Here is a 19,124-nt window from a genome sequence, read left to right as displayed (position 1 = left end):
AATCTACAAATAAAAATTCCATACCCTCTTTTACTGCTGCCATTTTTACATGCCTGCCAGGTATTTTTTAAACCTCTCAAAATCCTGCAAGTGAAATCTACTTTGAGGATTGGAACACGGAAGTCCAAAGCAGTATCTCGCTCGGAGTCGTCTCTGGCACTGGGATTTCACCAGGACTTTCTGAAGGGCTTTGCAGGGCACCTTGCAGCCTCCAACGTTCTCTTGCTCGTGCAGGGTGGAACGAGCTCCTCCGCATTCTGAAAACCGCCTTTTTCAGTCAGGCAAAGATTGTGGACCACGATCAAATAGACTCATTTGTAGAACTGGGAGAACCCTCCTAATCATCTGACAGTTACTCTTAGATTTCGTCTCTGAAATCGGTTGCGATTCCCGCTGGACGGCAGGGGGCAGCACCAGGCCGCCTCAGGGCCGGACCCGCGCGGGCGGTGCCGCCGCTTCCCCTCAGGCGGCCGGTGTGGGTGGGGCAGCCCGTGGCCTGGGCGGAGTCGGGAAGGGCCTGGCGGGCAAGAGCCTCAGACTGAGGGAAGGAGAGGGCGCCTTTCCGCGCTTCTGTTTCCCTAGAGGAAGGAAAGAAGTTGAGAAAATTCAGAGCCAAATGTAGATTTTCTCGAGTGCCTCATTCCCCACAGCGATCTTGCTGGTAACCGGGAGTGTGTTTTTTCTGCATCAAATGCTCAAATGCGGTCTTCCAAAATGTTTCCGACTGCGGCAGGAATTTCAAACGAAATCCTCGGAGCTAGAAGAAGAGTTACAGAAAATCGCGAATTTCCAGGCAACACGCCAGGGATTTGGGGAAGAGAACAGTAAAACGTAACAGAAATAGCAGCTTCCTGACACGGTGGAAGTCATCTGGTGAAGATTTTTTATACATTTTATATCGACTTTTTAATCTCCTAATTTATGAGTAAAGTGTTAACCTAAGAAGTAAGAATGCATTTTGTAGCTCATCATTGTTTAAATAGAGGCTTTGAAATTCAGCCCGTCTCGGTGATTGTAGCCGCCATTACAAAGTGGCTGCGGGAGGGGTCTGGCCTCTGCTCAGCCACTCACTGCTGTGTGATCTTGGGCAGAGCACTTGATGTCTCTGAGCCCGTCTCCTGAAGCCCAAAGCCAGGCTGTAATATCTGTGTCGGCTGTTCCGTGAGGAAAGATGCCTCATCTCTAGCTCTTCCTCAAGGCTATGAATATAATCAAAGGCGGATGCTCAGGGCTGTGAATAAGAGTTCAGTGACGCAGCGTTTTATCCAGTGCATTCCTCTTCCCAGGCGTCTGTGACATCGTCTTACCGACCAGCTGCCCCACTCTGGGACATTTACATCGCTTTGCAGTGGCCGCACTGACGGTCGACAGCTGCGCCAGGACTTAAGGCTCCAGCCTGGTCCCCTCCTTGCTTCCCAGCACTGCCTGGTCAAATGGTGGAGGACAAAGTGGAGGCAGAAGACGGAGGCGCAGCTGACACGTGGACTAAGGGCTCTCCAGGCATTCCGACTTCTGAAGAGGTGGCTGACAGCCTGAGCTCCATGGAAAGGTTGGGATAAAGAGCCTGTGTGATTGTCTACTCCAAATTCATGACTTTACAGATGGGCTTCAGCCAATGGTTTGGGTCCCAAGCTGTTGTTATTATTATTATTATTATTATCATTATCATTTAAGACAGTCTCGCTCTGTCACCCAGGCTGGAGTGCAGTGGTGCGATCTTGGCTCACTGCAGCCTCCGCCTCCCGGGTTCAAGTGATTCTCCTGCCTCAGCCTCCCGAGTAGCTGGGATTACAGGTGCCTGCCACCAGGCCCGGCTAATTTTTTTGTATTTTTAGTAGAAACGGGGTTTCACCATGTTGGCTAGGCTGGTCTCAAACTCCTGACCTTAAGTGATCTGCCCGCCTCGGCCTTCCAAAGTGCTGGGATTACAGGCATAAGCCACCGTGCCCGGCCCCAAGCTGCTTTTAGAATGGCTTTTACTTTCTTATATGTAATAGCGAAGAATTTAAAAATGTAAAGACAAGCCAGATGTCATGTTTGAAGAGGGAAATTAATCCCATAAAGAGCAGCACATCCATGTGATGGGGTATTAGGAGGCCCTCAATAGCCAAGGGTTAGCCTTTTTGATGACATAGAAAAATATGAGATATGATATTGAGTGAAAAGGGAGGTTATAAAATATCATGTGTAGTGCAATCACAAGTGTATGCACACACGCGGTGGAGAGAGACTGGGTGGACAGCACTAACCCATTACCAGGGCTGTCTCCTGACTTTTATCCTTTGGGTATTTTTTGTGGTTTCCAAATTTTTCAATGCACATTTATTATCTTAGGAGCAGGAAAAAACTTATTTTTGCCAATGAAATAAAAATAAATTTGGGCCAGGCATGGTAGCTCACTTCTGTAATTACAGCACTTTGGGAGTCTGAGGTGGGTGGGTTGCTTGAGCCCAGGAGTTCGAGACCAGTCTAGGCAACATGTCAAGACCTCATCTCTACAAAAAATTAAAACATGAGCTGGGTATGGTGGCATATGCCTGTAGTCCCAGCTACTCAGGAGGCTGAGGTGGGAGGATTACTCGAGTCTGGGAGGTCAATGCTGCAGTGAGCCGTGATGACACCACTGCACTCCAGCCTGGATGACAGAGTGAGACCCTGTCTCAACAACAAAACAAACAAGTGTGTTGGTGAATATTTGAAGATAGTTTCTCAAACTAAAAGATACCCAAAGAAAACCTTGGAAATATAAAAAGAATGCATGAATTGAAAACAAAAAGCCATAATACAAGACTCTAAAGATCTGGAATGAAACCTAATAAGAGACTGGTAGGTCAAATGAGAGCAAAGCATTTGAATTTGACTGGATTGTTTTCTCACTGGAAATAGTGATTCTATGAGTTCACCATTAACACATTTTTTGACTGGAAAACTGCTATAGGATCCCAGGGAGGACTAAATTTGAACAGAGGAAGTGGACAGTGTTGCAGTCTCTGTTCTAGCTCTTGCTTCTAGAATAGGAGAGTTAAGAGCACCAATTTGGGATGAAGAAAGCAGAAAGCAATTATCGATATCAATCAAGAGAGCAGAACAGCCTCTCTCCCTCCATCCTCCCTCTGCCCTCTTCTCCCTTCCTCCTTCTCTGCTTTCCTTTCACTCTGTGTATGTTAGCTTTGGCCCCATTCCATAAGCCGAGATAAAAATGCTAGGCATGATAAATTTGTGACTGTTACTAACATTTAGGATTTTTTTTTTGAGATGGAGTTTCACTCATGTTGCCCAGGCTGGGTGCCATGGCGCGATCTCAGCTCACTGCAACCTCTGCCTTCCGGGTTCAAGCAATTCTCCTGCCACAGCCTCGCAAGTAACTGGGACTACAGGCGCATGCCACCATGCCTGGCTAATTTCTTTTGTATTTTTAGCAGAGACAAGGTTTCACCGTGTTGGCCAGGATGGTCTCGATCTCCTGACCTTGCGATCTGCCCACCTCAGTCTCCCAAAGCACTGGGATTACAGGCGTGAGCCACCACACCTAGCACATTTAGGACCGTTATATGGAATTCTTCATATCTTCTAAGTTTTAAAAAAACAAAATCTACCAAATATTAGAGATTTAGTAGTTAAATAAAATCATTAGGAAAGAGCAAAGACTTGCCCAGTTTTAGGTGGAGTAAATTCTGGAACTTTTAATACAAAGATAGGCTGGGAAACTGCAAAGATAACTTTGCGGTTCTTCTTGTATGCAAATCTGTGATCATGGATGGAGAAGCCTGGAGGAGAATCGGAAGGCAAGGTCAAACTTTATGGGTTGTGATCCATTTGGTTCTTTCAGTAAGAATCCACAATTGATAAAATACTAGAGTTTGTGTTTCTTAGCTGAGAATGCAGGCGCGAGGAAGTAAAATGATTTCTTCTCGTCAGTAGTAGAGCCACCTAACCCCAGTCTTCGGCCTCAAGCTCTTTCTGTGCTTTATTAAATCAGCTGCTTTTTAACAGAAAACCGACTTTGCACACCAGACTATAATGCAGGTCTTGCTTTGGGAATATTTACATGGTAATCTTATAGTCACATTATACACTAAATAAATGTTAGCTGGGCCATTTGTGTAGAAATATAACTTGTGCAAAATAAAACCGTTAATGTGTAAAACACATGATGGGGGAGTTTCTTGGTTTTGAGTGTCTGCCTCAAATTATACAGACTCATCTGTAAATTCCAGCTGTATCTTTCAAAATACATTCAAGCTAACGTTCGGTAAAATGAACACTTAGCAGTGGCAGTGCATGGTTGGTCACTAGCCCACTCAATTGTTTTGTGAGGCAGATGAAATATAAAAATATGACAAAGAACAAATGTTTTCCTCTCCTATGCAGAGGTGAACTGAAGCCTGCTGCCGCCAGGGTAATTTATAACATATATTTATAGAAATAAATGGCCCGTCTGGGCATTCATGTGTTTCAAATCAATCATGGAGTACAATGCTCAGTGCCGAGGGAAAAGAGAGTTATTCAGAAGGTCTTTTGAGACCTCCTCTGACCACGGTGGTGGCTCACGGAAGAGTTTGCAGCTGCAGGTTCTGTGGTGGACAGAGGCTCTCCATCTTTATATTATTAATCTGGGTGAAGCGCTTTGTTCAAGCAGAAGGGGAATAAGCGCTCTAATCATCCGGAAACTCATTAACTTCTTTCTTTCAAATGTCTTATCAGATTTCTCCCTTGATGCTTTCCTCTAATTCCTTAGGACTGAAGGGCTAAAGACACTGGAGAGTGTATTAAAATATATTAAGCAATCACAAATGTCTGAATGCGAGGCACTGCCATACAGCCAGAAAGCAACAGCCTGGGGGGCTCGCTGCACAGATTCAAACACTGGTCTCCCCCGACCATGAACTTGGGCAGGCTACTCACCACTTCAGACTGCAGCTTCCACTTCTAAAAAATGGGGAGAACAAGACTGACCTTGTTCAGTTGTTGTGAGGATTGGAGATATAACTGCTAAGCGCCTGGCATAAGGAGCAATAGTGCAGTGATCATAACTTATGAAAACAGCAGTGACATCCCGGGGCTACAGAGGCACAGCAGGAAGTGCGGACCCCAGGACTCTTCTGGGCTCTCTGTAGCCATGGCCCTGGGGCACCTGGGTTCTCCTACCCTCTGGCTTCCAGAAGCTTAATAGACTTGATTGGCCACAAGGAATATCCTGTCATGAAAATCAATATTTTAGAGCAAGATGAATCCGGAAAGAGGCTTTGAGAAGGTTGTATAGGCCTGAAAAGGGGGGACACGGAGCTCACCTCACATGGCTGGGGATGAGTCGGACCTGACTGGGGCATGCCCAACTGCTACCTTCAACCTGACTCCAAAGGTCTTGACCTTCGAGAGTGATCTGACCTCAGAACCCGACATTCCAGATGTCACAGGCCACCTGGGCGAACACAGATGTCTCAGCACACACTTCTCGTTACCTCATCCAGTCCTCACAGCAGCCCTGGCCAGAGCCGCGGGGAACTGTGAAGCGCTGTTAACGCTACCGAGAGAATGAATCCACACTCATCTCAAGCCCGGGCGACAGAATGAGAACACTAAACCAATTTACAAAGAAAACCAGTTTATAAGTAAACTGAAGTTAAAGTTCATGGCAAGTGCATTATTAAATGGGCCATATGAGGACGAGCAAGATGAGAGAAGATTAAAATATTAGTCCTGGAATTTTGTGTCCAAACAAGGACATTTCATCACCATTATGAAAAGCCATTTGTATTCTTTTAAATTTTTTTTTTTTTTTTTTTTTTTTTAGACAGAATCTTGCTTTGTGGCCCAGGCTAGAGTGCAGTGGCGTGATCTTGGCTCACAGCAACCTCTGCCTCCTGGGTTGAAGCAATTCTCCTGTCTCAGCTCCTTAGTAGCTGGGATTACAGGCAAACGCTACTGCGTTTGACTAATTTTTGTGTTTTGAGTAGAGACGGGGTTTCGCCATGTTGGCCAGGCTGGTCTTGAACCCCTGGCCTCAAGTGATCTACCTGCCTTGGCCTCTCAAAGTGCTGGGATTACAGGTGTGAGCTAAATTGTGTTTTAAAATTAAATTAAAATACGTTTAGAATCAAAGAAACAGTGTTCCCCTTAAACACCATACTCAAAAACTTAATATGCCTCAAAAACCGTAACTATAGACCTGAGTTATAAGACAGGAGAATATAGGCGAAAATGATTCTGGAGAAGAGGCGAGTAGTGGCTTCTGCTTGCCAACCCGGAGAGAGAGGCAAAAAGCATCCTTCGATCCTAGCGATATTTATAGTAAAGCCTTATCAAATGTCAACCTTTGAAAATTAATTCCAATTTTTTTTAAGTATAAGAAGAAACACTACATGCTCATAAAGCAAGATAACAGAAAGGAGAGTGGTTTAAAAGACTTCTTGACTTCTAAAGTAATTTATCCATCTACTTTCAACAGTTTAATGACATTTTCCTGAAAGATAGGAGTTTTTCAAAGCCTGGTTCAAGTTTCAATCCGTTGATATGATGTCAGAACAACAAATCATTCTGATCTCATAAAAGAAAAGTGAGTATAAATTTATAAATTAATTGCAATTTTAAAGATTGTTCACTAGTTTTAGTCAATCAATCAGAAGCTCGTTATATTAATTGGGTTGAGTACTGATAACCTCATTAATCATACAGCTTCCAGTTTAGGCAGGTTGAATGCATTTTTCCCCTATAATATCAAGTGTGACATGAGAGATAGAATATAAAAGAATGTTAAAACTAATCCACATCATGGAGAGAAGAAACAGACTCACACAGAGACGGATGGGATGATTTGCAGCCGTCTTTGGGAATTCTCTACCGCAGCATCCCACCAGCGTCGCCTCAGCTAAAAGGATCCATTTCATGGAGAAGAGATGACACAGTGGGTGCACAAGTGTGGGATTCGTAGTCTTAGCATGGACTAATGCAAACTGTGGACCTCAGTTAATAATCATGTTTTAATATTGGTCCATTCACTGTGCACTAATGCAAGATGCTAATTATAGGAGAAAGCTGCAGGGGGTGGGGAGATGGGGAGAGGCGTGTGACAGTCTGTACTATCTTCTCAATTTTTCTGTAAATCTAAAATGGTATAAAAATGGTATAAAATCTAAAATGGTATAAAACATAAGGTGTAGGCTGGGCGCAGTGGCTCATGCCTGTAATCCCAGCACTTTGGGAGGCCAAGGCAGGCGGATCACGAGGTCAGGAGTTTGAGACCAGCCTGGCCAACACAGCGAATCCCCGTCTCTACTAAAAAAAAAAATAAAAAATAAAAATAACTTGGCGGGCCTGGTGGCATGCGCCTGTAGTCCCAGGTACTCAGGAGGCTGAGGTAGGAGAATCTCTTGAACCTGGGAGGCGGAGGTTACAGTGAGCCGAGACCACGCCACTGCACTCCAGCCTGGGCAACAGAGTGAGACTCCGTCTATAAGAAAAAACAAAAAACAAAAAACCATAGCAAAGTAGTTTTAGATTATAACTCAAAATATAAACTAAATGCCCATAAATACCAATATAAATAAACTATTGAATAAATAAATAAATGAGGGAGAATAGACAACTCTCTCAGTCAGAACAATGGTAAATAATTTATGTGGAGATTCTATCCGTAGGGAAGTGGAGCGTAAGGACCCATTTATTAGGTGTGTGCTGCGTAATGACTTGTTTCCAAAGACTACAGTATGGAAAGAAAAAGAAAAAGAATAACCTCATAGAATAACTTTACCTGACAAACAGCACCCCAAGTCAGGTGATCAAAGTTATTACCACCAACAGTGACAAGTCGTGTTGACAGTATGCACCCGTGATAATACGCGATCAGAACTGTACTTTACCTCTGTGGATTTAGTGCTTTTATATTTGATGTAACTTGTGAGATATTTTGGTTTAACTCTGCCATCTTTATATTCTTTTATCCCTCTTGCAGTATGTTCATTTTTCTTTCTTTTTTTTTTGTATTTATAGAAACCTTTTATTGTCTAATAATTTACTTTTTTTTTTTTTTTTTGAGACGGAGTCTCGCTCTGTCACCCAGGCTAGAGTGCAGTGGTGCGATTTTGGCTCACTGCAACCTCCAACTTCCAGGTTCAAGCGATTCTCCTGCCTCAGCCTCCTGAGTAGCTGGGACTATACAGGCGTGCGCCACGATGCCCGGCTAATTTTTTGTATTTTTAGTAGAGACAGGGTTTCACCATGTTAGCCAGGATGGTCTCCATCTCCTGACCTCACGATCCGCCCACCTCAGCCTCCCAAAGTGCTCGGATTACAGGCATGAGCCACCGTACCCGGCGATAATTTACTCTTTATTAGTTTGGTAGTTATCAGTATTTTCACTCTTCACTTAATGGTTTCCCTAGAAACTACAACAAATATCCTTGACATATCAAAGTTTAATATAAATGGTACTTTTACCTCTTTTAGGACATTTCAAAGGTAACAGAGCACTTTAATAATATTTACCGTCTTCTTTATTGGTGAGTTATTTTTGTTATGTATTTAAGTTTGCATATGTTAAACCTAAGACATTGTTTTTTCTAATCAATATCCATTCATATTTATCCTGTATTCATGGCATCCACTGTTGTGTGTTCCTGCCTACAGTGCTAGCCTTCATCTAGTATCATTTTTCTTCTGCCTGAAGGAAATGGTCTTTAGTGTTTCATTTACTATAAATCTGCTGGTGGTAAATCTTTTTCATTTCCGTTCTTCTAAAAAAGCCTTTGTTTCTCTTTCTTTGTAAAATATATTTAGGCTGAGTATAGAATTCTAGATTGGCAGTTGTTTTCTTTCTGCACTTGGAAATATAATTCCATCTTCATCTGGCCTCTATGTTTTCTTTCTGCTGAAATATCAACTATCAGGTTAATTGGTGCGCCTTTGACGATAACCTCTTTTTTCCTCTGGCTATTAAGACTGTCTCTGTTTTTGCTCTCCGAGGATTTTGCTTACATTTGCCTCGGCATGGCTTTCCTTAGGCAAGTGTGGCTGTGGTTTGTGGCACTTTTATCATTGCCTTGATGTCTTTTGCCATATTGGGAGTGTCACTGGCCATGTTCTCTTCAGTTATTGTCTCTGACACATTTTCTCTCTCCCCTCCTTCTGGATTCCAATTATATGAATGTTATGCTTTTTCACTCTGTCCCCTATGTATTTCATATTCTTTCTCATATTTTAAATCCTTTTCTCAGCATGTTTTCATGTGTCTGTTTTCTTCATGTCACCACCATTTTTTTTTTTAGTTGTATCTAAACTGCTGTTAAGGTCACACGTTGATTTTTAATTTCAGTTAATGTTTTTTAGTTCTAGAGTTCCTACTGGCTTTTTTTTGTTGTTGTTCTCTAAATTCTTTGCCAAACATTCCCAATCTTTTCTTTGATTTCCCTTGAGCATCTTATTCATAGTGCATTGTCTGTAACACCTGTAAATCTCTTTCTAGTTTTCTGTTGTTTCTCTTGGTTTTCCAAAACACTCGTTGTCTCCTCACCTGACTGGTTAAATTGTATTGTGTGACTGAGACACTATGTGAAAGCTTATAGAGGTACTTTGAGGCTAGAATGAAGTTTTATTTCTCTAATGGGGATTTATGTTTGATTCTTGCAAGTACTAGGGGCACTAGCAATCCTGCACACCATCTTAATCCAATCATAAGTTAAGATAATTTAAAGCTGAGCACAAATCCCTAAAGAGGACAATCTATTTACAGCTTAGTCTGTATTCTGCAATTTTACCATCAGTTCCCAACCCAGATCCCTAAGCAACCTTAAGAGCCCATTAGTCAGGCTGACAGACCAGCCACCACTCTCTTCCTTATCATGCCATAAACTCCAATTTTTGTTTTTGTAAGATCAGAAGTAAGTTTAAAGTAAGTTTCAGCTTGTCAGTATCCCAGCCATTTCTTCTGGAAATTGGAGGAAATCCATGGGGGAAAAGCATTTCAAATGCCAAGGTCATCCTTCTATATGTTCTTATTCTCCCAAATCTTGGTTCCCAGGTTTTTTCACTGCGTTATGTTCCAGTACCTTTGAACATATGGTTTTTATATTGTATCCACTAGTTTCATGTGTTTGAAATGGGAGGATTGGTCTGAATTAACTAGTCTTTCATTACCCAAAATAGAAGTCTGGAAATGTTAGAATAATAGAAGTCATTCAATCTGAACAACAAAGAGAAAATATATTTTTTAAAAATGAAGAAAGCCTCAGAGACCCATGGGACTATAACAAAATAATTAACATCCACATCACCAGGGTTCTAGAAGGAGAGCAGAATGTGCATAGGACTAAAAAGTTGTCAAGGAATAATGTCTGAAAAATCCCCAAATTTGGCAAAAGACATAAACCTATAGATTCAAGAAGCTGAACAAACTCAAGGAAACCATGTCAAGACATTTCATAGTCAAACTCCGAAAAACTGAAGACAAAGAAAAAAAAATATTGAAAACAGCCAGAGAGAAATAACATCCTAGCATCAGGGGAAAACTATTTGAATGAAAGAAAAGTTCTCACTACAAACCACAAAGGCCAGAAGGAAGTGGCACAACATTTATCAAGTGTTAACTCAGAATTCTATATCTTGTGAAAATAGTCTTCAGGAATGAAAGGAGAGTCAAGATATTTCACATGGAGGAAAACAAAAAGAATTTGCTGCCATCATACCTATCCCAAAAGAATGGGTAGTTCTTGAAATAGGAAATGAAAAAGACAGAATCACGAAACATCAGGAAGAAAGTACAATGAAAAGAATGAAAATATGAATAACTACAATAGGCTCTCTTCTACTCTTGAGTTTTCTAAATTATATATGAGGCACAGACAGTACCACCATTTAGCGTGGTTCTCAATGTTTGTAGAGGAAATATTTATACCATAAACAGGGGAATGTAAAGGGACATAAAAGGAGATTGCGTTCATTCACACCATAAAATATCAACAGCAGTAGACAGAAATAAGTTATGTACATGTAAAGTAGCACCTAAAGAAACTCCTCAAAAAAGATGCACTGGGAAACATTATGGACAAATCAAACTGGAATTCTAAAAAAAATTGTTCAAATAATTCACAGGAAAGCACAAAAAAGAGAGAAATGGAAAACAGAGAATGAATAGAAAACAAAAAATATAATAGCAGACTCAAGCCTTACATATCAAATTACATCAAATGTAAATGGTCTAAATATACCAACTAGAAGATAGAGATTAGAAGGCAGCATTAAAAAAAATGGCCCAACTATATGCTGTCTATCCTTCAATCACAATCGCATAGTAGAATGAAAGGGGAAAAAAATAGAAAAATATATATACCATGCAAACAATCAAAAGAGGCAGTCCTATTAATATCAGATAAAGTAGACTTCAGAGCCAAGACAATTATATAATGAGATAAAGGTCAATTTGCTAAGATGGCATAGCAATTTTAAACATATATACACTAAACGACAGAGCTGCAAAATGTATTAATTGGCTGGGCAGGGTGGCTCATGCCTGTAATCCCAGCACTTTGGGAGGCCGAGACGGGTGGATCACGAGGTCAGGAGATCAAGACCATCCTGGCTAACATGGTGAAACCCCGTCTCTACTAACAATACAAAAAAATTAGCTGGGTGTGGTGGCGGGTGCCTGTAGTCCCAGCTACTGGGGAGGCTGAGGCAGGAGAATGGTGTGAACCCGGGAGGTGGAGCTTGCAGTGAGCTGAGATTGCACCACTGCACTCCAGCCTGGGTGACAGAGCGAGACTCTGTCTCAAAAAAAAAAAAATGTATTAATTGATAGAGCTCAAAAGAGAAACAGCAATCCACAATTATTGTTAGAGACCCTACTCTCCTTTCCCGCCAATTGATAGAACAACTAAACAGAAAATTCACAAGGACAGAGAACAACTTATGAACAATCAACTGGATCTAATGGGTATTTGGAGAACATGGCGATCAACAACAGCAGAATATATATTCTTTTCAGGTGCCCACAAAACATATAAAAAGATATACCACTTCTGACTATCAAACAAACCTCAACATATTTAAAAGAATTAAAATCTTAGTCTGTCTTCTCTTACCCCCACTAGAAATCAACAACAAAATAACAGGAAAATCTCCAAACACATGAAAAAGAAATAACACACTTTTCATTATCCATGGGTCAAAGAATAAGGATCAAGAGAAATACGTAAAAGTACACTCAACAGAATAAACATGAAAATACAACATATCAAAATTCAAAAGCTCAGCAAAGCAGTGCTTAGACAGAAATTTATAGCACTAAATGTTTACATTAGAAAAGAGGAAAAGTCTCAAACAATAACCTAAGTGTTCACCTCAAGAATCTAGAAATAGAAGAGCAAATAAACCCAAAGCAAACAGAATGAAGGAGATAATGAAGAGATTAATGAAATAAAAGCAGAGACATAACAGAGGAAACAAATAAGACAAAAAGATGATTCTCTGAAACTTAGATAGCTGCAGGTTTATTTTATAGATGACCTTTATCAGGTTGTGAAAGTTTCTTTGTAGTCTTAGGTTGGGAGTTTTTATTATGAAAGGGTTGGTTTTGTCAAATGCTTTTTCTGTGGCTATTAGAAGGTCATATGGATTTTTTCTTTTATTCTATTGAGGAGTTATGACATTAATTGGCTTTCAGATGTTAGCCCAACCTTGCATTCCTCAGATAAACCCCACTTGGTCATGTTGCTGGATTTAATCTGCAATCACTTTGTTAAAAAGTTGTACCTTTCTCATTTTATAGTTTTCTTATGATGTGTTTGCCTGGCTTTGGTATCAGGTTAATACTGGCCTTGTAAAATATTTGGGAAGTGTTATTTTGTCTCTATTTCCTGTAAGATTGATATCATTTGTTTCTTAAGCATTTGAGAAAATTCACCAATGAAGCCATTTGGCTCAGATCTTTTCTTTGTGGGCATGTAGTTAACTATAATTCAACTTGGTTACTTATACATCTGTTCAAATTTTCTATTCATTGTTGGTCAGTGCTCATAATTTATGTCTCTTTAGGAATTTGTCCATTTTATCTAAATTATCTATTTTTTTAAACATTTTAAAATTTCTTTGTGATATTTTTAGTTTCACCATGGACCCTTGTATGTTATTTCTTTTATTCCTGATTTGGCATATTTCTGTTTTTTTCTTTTCCTTTTGGCTTGTCCAGTCTAGCAAATCTGATCAGTTTGTTTTCCTAGAATCAACTTCTTTTAGTTTCTTCTGTTTTCCGTATTTGTCTTACTGTTTTCTAGGTCACTGTTTGCCATTCGGATCTTTTTTTTTCTTTTTTTTGAGATGGAGTCTTGCTCTGTCACCCAGGCTGGAGTGCAGTGGCATGGTGTCAGCTCACTGCAATCTCCGCCTACTAGTTTCAAAGGATTCTTCTGTCTCAGCTTCCCGAGTAGCTGGGATTGCAGGCACGCGGCAGCATGCCTGGCTAATTTTTGTGTTTTTAGTAGAGATGGAGTTTCACCATGTTGGATAGGCTGGTCTCAAACTCCTGACCTCAGGTGATCTGCCCTTGGCCTCCCAAAGTTTTGGAATTTAGATAAAGTCTCTCTCTCTGTCCCCCAGGCTGGAGAGCAGTGGTGTCATCGTGGCTCACTGCAACCTCTGCTTCCTGGGTTCAAGTGATTCTCTTGCCTCAGCCACCTGAGCAGCTGGGATTACAGGTGCGTACAACTACGCCCAGCTAATTTTTGTATTTTTGTAGAGATGGGGTTTTACCATGTTGGCCAGCCTTGTTACAAACTCCTGACCTCAGGTGATCCACCCACTTTGGCCTCCCAAAGTGCTGGGATTACAGGTGTGAGCTACCGCGCCCAGCATCCATTCTGATCTCACTCCCCTTCCTTCTACTTAGTTTGAGCTTGATTTGGTTTTCCTTTTCTAGATTCCTGGTGCGGAAGCTTAAACTATTCCTTTAATCTCTTTCTTTCTAATGCAACGATCAAAACTTAGCAGCATCCCGTCAATATTTTGAAATGTTTCTTTCTTTTTCGAAACTAGTTTTATTGAAACAGAGTTGGAATGCAACATGCTGCCTGGAAAGTTGGCTGGCTGCAGCCCAAATGCCCTGTGGGATCTTTCAGGTCTGACCACGGGTGATGACAAAGGCCCCACCTGGCTGCCTCATGGTGTGTGGCCAGTGCACTGCCGTGTCTGAAGGCTGTTGCGGGGAAGGACCTGGGTGCCCTGGGTATCCCCTGTGCCCAACCCAGGCACCTCCCTTCCGAGACCACATGGGTCCCTTGGCTGAGGCCTGTCTTAGGTACCTCTGCCAAAGCCTCCTTTTCAGGGGGCCTGGAAGACATTTTTCCCACTCTGACTTTGCATTCAGCACTTTTCCACTCTCAGCTGCCTCCCTCTCTCTCTTCCCCTGACTCCAGGGCCATAGAATGGCAGAAACCTTTTGTTAGGGGCTCTCTGGGCAGTGAGACAGTATCCCTTCACTGCTGTCTTCACAGACACACCTAACCTTCACCCAGTGCCGTGGGGGAAAATGAAACACCAGGGTGGGGGCTGGCACTCTCAGTGAGGCCTCTGGTTTCTACTCCTGCCGGGAGTGACACCTGCCTGGTGGAACCTGCGTTTGGCCTTTGACCCACCCACCACCCGGCACCTGGCAGCCGGCCCCTCTCGCTCAGCACCTCACAATGCACAGATTAAAAGTGTGTTGTTTGTTACATTTAAGAACCAGTATTGAAGCATTATGAATCAAAGTCCATACTTTGAATTATTCAGACTACCTAGTTTTATCTACTATCTATGTCGGTTGTGAACTATTCCATCCTATGTCCAGGCATAATGCAGAGAATGGTGTCCTGGCCACCTTGGGGGTAACCATGGCCATAGGTCATTATCACAGAGTCCAGATGTTCCATCTGGAGCCAACCAGTAAACACCCGGTCACTATGCCCACTCAGTGGCATGCCAGCCAGGACTCTGTAACACAATGGTGTAGATGCACTGTTCTCTGGGTTCCATCCCGTATCTCCAGTGCTCCTGGGCCAGGGATCTTTGATATGATTCTTTTGTTCCCAATGTAAAGGGGCACGTGAACTAAGTTGACCCAAAGAGAGGGTAAGTCAGGTGAAACCATCCCAAGTTTGTGTTATGCCATCCCGATATTGAGTGGTCTAATCTCTCAGCTGGTGTAGTACCAGCATTAAGGTATGTGGACTTTTACTGGAAAGCTCTTCCTATGGCTTTTGCTTTGTAAAGTATCATTCATAGGCCAGTGATGCACACTTGCCTTCATCATACTAGTGCTAAGCACCAATGACTGTCCTGAGAAACACAGACACATTTCTGATATTCTGTCTACTCTTGTCCTTGAAGAGGAGCTGCCACCATGGTAGGCCAGAACCACCAGAAAGGGGCGCAAGGCCACACACCTAACGAGTGTTGTCCTGTAATTTACTAGCACAGGCCCAAGCCTACTGCAAGAAGATGTTTGTTTCATGGGCAATGGCTGGTGATGGTAGCAACAAAACAGAAGAACTAGGGACAAAAAGAAGGAAGTGTGGTGGGAACTTGTAAAGGAAGACCTTCCTCATCTACTGACGATGATTATATTAAGGGTTTGTCTAGATACAGGCCTGGTCAGGTGTCTTGAGAAGGCTGATCGCCTCACATGTTGTTTTCTTCTCATCCTTGTTGGTTCTGGAGAGTTTTAGTTTTAGATCACCAATTTGAGATGAAGTCCAAATTGACAAAGCAGCTTTCCTTGCATGGGTGGCAGGTATCCAGGAATCAACTCCTTTAAGCTTAGTGGCACAAGGGTTGGTTAGGAGTCCCTGATAAGGTTCCTTCCTCCTTGGTGGAGAAAGTCCTTTAAAGGATGCTGTTTCCTACAAAGTCTCCTGGCTGAAGTATGTGTTCCTTGAGTTTTTGCTTCTTGGAGCTCACTGTGGAAAGAATCTTTTACTAAATAACAGTTTTTACTTAGGTGCCTTATGAGGCTGCTGCAATAATACAACCTGTCCCTTTTTAATATCATCGATTTACAATTTCCTGGAGACAATTTCATAGGTCTGTCCGTTATAATTTCAGATGAAGACAGTTGGTGTTTACCCATAAGGGCTGATCTTAGGTGAAGCAAAAACAAGAAAGAGCTTCCAGTCAAGGGAGTTTTAAAACTTCAGTTAATTTTGCCAAATGAGTTTTGATTATTCTGCTTGTGCATTCTACTAACCCAGATGACTGGGGTGATAGGCACAATGGAAATGCTGGAAAATGGGCCAGATTTTGCATACTAACTGGATTATTTGTGCAGTGAAATGAGTGCCTCTGTTGCTATAAAGTTCTTGAGGAACTCCCCAAATCGGAATAATTTTCTCTAAGATAATTTTACTTACCGCCAAGGCTGCTGCTCTTCTGCATGGAAATGCTTCTACCCATGAGAAAATACACAAACCATCACTAGGATGTGCCTGTATCTTTGTGATGGTGGTAGCTGAAAAAATCTAGTTGCCATACCTCGAAAGGGCCTTCTGGTAAAGGAAAATGACATGGAGAACTGGGTCAAGGTTTCCTTGCATTATATTCTGGGAAGACAGCCCTGACTGTATACCCGTGAGCAACAGTTGGAGAAGGTTTCCGACAACATTGTTCTCCTCAAGAAATCAATAATCTTATCAGGGCTCCAGTGAGTCACATCGTGTATGCACGTTAAGAAAGATGGCTGGACCGGGCGCGGTGGCTCACGCCTGTAATCCCAGCACTTTGGGAGGCCGAGGCGGGCACATCACGAGGTCAGGAGATCGAGACCATTCTGGCTAACAGAGTGTAACCCCGTCTCTACTAAAAATACAAAAAATTAGCCCGGCATGGTGGCGGGTGCCTGTAGTCCCAGCTAGTCAAGAGGCTGAGGCAGGAGAATTGCGTGAACCCAGGAGGTGGAGTTCACGCCATTGCACTCCAGCCTGGGCAACAGAGCGAGACTCCATCTGAAAAAGAAAAAAAAAAAAAGAAAGATGGTTGTAACTTAGTTGGAAGTATGAGTAGAACATTTGGTCAAACCGTACATCAGTCTCAGAAGCGCATGTGCCACTTTTGTTTCCCAATTTTCTCGTCCTGTTTTTGGAGATTTAGATTGAGCTAATTTTACATAAAAATCTAACTTCCTTAAAGGCCAAAATGGTTTGATCTTTTTGTTCAGATATGTTTATGGCCACCCTGTTTGCTATACTACCTGCTAACTGGCTTATCTTGCTTTTTTGAGTGTCTTTGAATGGCCTGGAATCTTGATAATGGCTAATGATTTTGGCAATAGTATGGCTTGCCATAATTCTGAAACAAGGCACCCATTTTTTTGTGGGCTGACTAGAAAAGGTTAAAAATCCTTTGTCTCCATAGCATTCCAAAGTTATGAGCTACTCTATAAGCATACCTGCTATTGGTATAAAGATTAGCAGTTATTCCTTTTGCCAACTGACAGGCTCTAATTAATGCTATTAACTTTGCTTGTTGAGATGATTGCTCCTGGAAGACAAGCACTTTCTATTTCTTTGGGCAAAGACGCTATGGCATAACCAGTGTAATACCTTCCAGCTGCATCTTTAAGTAAGAGCCATCTGTAAACCAAATAACATCAGCGTTAGTGAGGGGGGTTCTTGCATGTCTGTCCTAGGAGAGAGCTGGTCAGGTAAGATGATGCAGTCATGCAGCGTTTCAGCTGAAGGTGGGGGAGAGGGTGGCAGGATTTAGATGACATCTGGACATTGTAGTATGCGGCTGAGAGAATAACTTCATGAGAAGCCAGTTACTAACTGATCGTGTTGAGTGTGATGCAAGTTTAGAAGCGTTTCCACAGAATGCGTATCGAAGGCAGTGAGGGGTGATCGCATCCTTGGTGGTTTGGTTGCTCTTGCAGAGCTGTGATGGTTGTTGCATCATGCAAGGAGACAGTCCTTTAGCTGTAGGGTCTAGTTGTTGACTGTAATACCCTACAAGTCTGCTTTGTCTCCATGTTTTTGAGTCAGAACGACAACAAACGTTTTACTTGCCAACAATTCTGCAACCTGAGCTGGACCCAGGCCCGACGGGCTTTGCAGACAGTCACGTGTGTGGCTGGCCTCAGCTGGGATGTTGGGATAGCTGGGTTGTCCTCCCTCTTCCATTTCATAGGATCTCGGGATCTCTTTCCATCATTTTTCCTTAGGAAGTTGGCCTTTTAACATGGTAGCTCACGGCTCCCAAGCGTGCACCCATGTGTAAGCTTTAACGATTGCACTGAAGTTGGCTTGGTGTAATTGTCTGCTTATCGATCTTTTTCTCGGCAGGTTTCCTGTTCTCTCACTCCGTACGTGATTAATTTATTTTCCCAGGACGTCCCAGTTACCCGGGCCGGGGGGGACCGGCCCGCGCGGCAGTGCGAGGTCGGGCCTGAGCAGGGCGCCTGTTGGATAGCGTAGCAGGTGAACTGCCCACTGCACGTTAACAATCGTAACACCCTGCACCCTTTAAACAGGCTTCTTTTTTCTTTTCTTTTTTAAACAGGCTTCTTTCATCAGAAGTGTGAATCAAACCAATGCCGTTAACACACACACCCCCACACCCACACACCAAATTATGGCCTTTATGGTGCTACCGGCCACCAAGTGCCCTCCAAGCAAGCCCGTCACGCTCGCGACTCCGGGGCCGCTCTGTCCGCGCAGCTCGAGGGCCTCGGGCCACCTGTCGCCCGGAACTTTCTCGGCCGACCGGGCAGCAGCAGGGGGAATGCACCAGACAGGGCCGGGAACGCTTAGGCAGCCGCACGCGCGGCCGCGGCGCAGGGAAGAAGCGGGGCATTGTGGGAAGCGCCCGCGCTTTCGGCGGGTTCCGTTAAAATGGCGCCCTGGTGGCCGGCGGCGCCCGCGCCTTAGCCTGTCAGGAGCAGGGAGCTTGCGGGGCGCAGGAAGGGCGCGGGCCGCGGTCCCTGCGCGTGCGGCGGCAGTGGCGGCTCTGCCCGGACCACCGTGCACGGCTCCGGGCGAGGATGGCGACCCCGGACCAGAAGTCGCCGAACGTTCTGCTGCAGAACCTGTGCTGCAGGATCCTGGGCAGGAGCGAAGGTAGAGTGGCCGGGCGACGCGAAGCCCGCAGACCCGTCCCGGGGGCTGCTC

General features: G+C 43.2%; 1 protein-coding gene and 1 long non-coding RNA gene across 12 annotated transcripts in view, besides 4 other annotated features; one reads left to right on the top strand and one right to left on the bottom strand.

Annotated features, from left to right (window-relative positions):
* Positions 294-523: a silencer, noted in NCBI's record as "silent region_5533". NCBI's record gives its function as "represses an Ori minimal core promoter by ATAC-STARR-seq in GM12878 lymphoblastoid cells {active_cell/tissue: GM12878}" and the evidence as "EXISTENCE:reporter gene assay evidence [ECO:0000049][PMID:35858748]".
* Positions 554-603: a silencer, noted in NCBI's record as "silent region_5532". NCBI's record gives its function as "represses an Ori minimal core promoter by ATAC-STARR-seq in GM12878 lymphoblastoid cells {active_cell/tissue: GM12878}" and the evidence as "EXISTENCE:reporter gene assay evidence [ECO:0000049][PMID:35858748]".
* Positions 1,348-19,124, top strand: part of TUBGCP3 (tubulin gamma complex component 3) — a 120,620-nt gene continuing 102,843 nt past the window's right edge. For 10 of the 11 annotated variants that reach the window (XR_007063655.1, NM_001286277.2, XM_011537462.3 and 7 more), the window contains exon 1: positions 18,825-19,073. Coding sequence is in view for 8 of the 11 variants with exons in the window: in NM_001286277.2 (NP_001273206.1) it covers positions 18,998-19,073 (76 nt within the window). In the remaining 3 variants the exon portion in view is untranslated. Of the gene's footprint in view, positions 1,550-18,824; positions 19,074-19,124 lie in introns of those variants that run through there. The other variant, XM_017020323.3, reaches the window with a different exon arrangement.
* On the bottom strand, positions 8,307-18,792 carry LOC124903251 (uncharacterized). The gene is made up of 2 exons (XR_007063945.1): positions 17,562-18,792; positions 8,307-16,964 (listed from the first exon to the last, which is right to left on the bottom strand). It is a non-coding gene; the product is annotated as an uncharacterized LOC124903251 (long non-coding RNA).
* Positions 18,010-18,829: an enhancer, noted in NCBI's record as "H3K27ac-H3K4me1 hESC enhancer chr13:113242463-113243282 (GRCh37/hg19 assembly coordinates)". NCBI's record gives its function as "activates a minimal SCP1, AML or CMV promoter by ChIP-STARR-seq in naive H9 embryonic stem cells {active_cell/tissue: H9 hESC(naive)}" and the evidence as "EXISTENCE:reporter gene assay evidence [ECO:0000049][PMID:30033119]".
* Positions 18,895-19,114: a silencer, noted in NCBI's record as "silent region_5531". NCBI's record gives its function as "represses an Ori minimal core promoter by ATAC-STARR-seq in GM12878 lymphoblastoid cells {active_cell/tissue: GM12878}" and the evidence as "EXISTENCE:reporter gene assay evidence [ECO:0000049][PMID:35858748]".

This window comes from Homo sapiens, chromosome 13 (assembly GCF_000001405.40).
Source record: "Homo sapiens chromosome 13, GRCh38.p14 Primary Assembly".
Classification (NCBI taxonomy): domain Eukaryota; kingdom Metazoa; phylum Chordata; class Mammalia; order Primates; family Hominidae; genus Homo; species Homo sapiens.
This window is presented reverse-complemented; position numbering and strand designations above follow the sequence as displayed.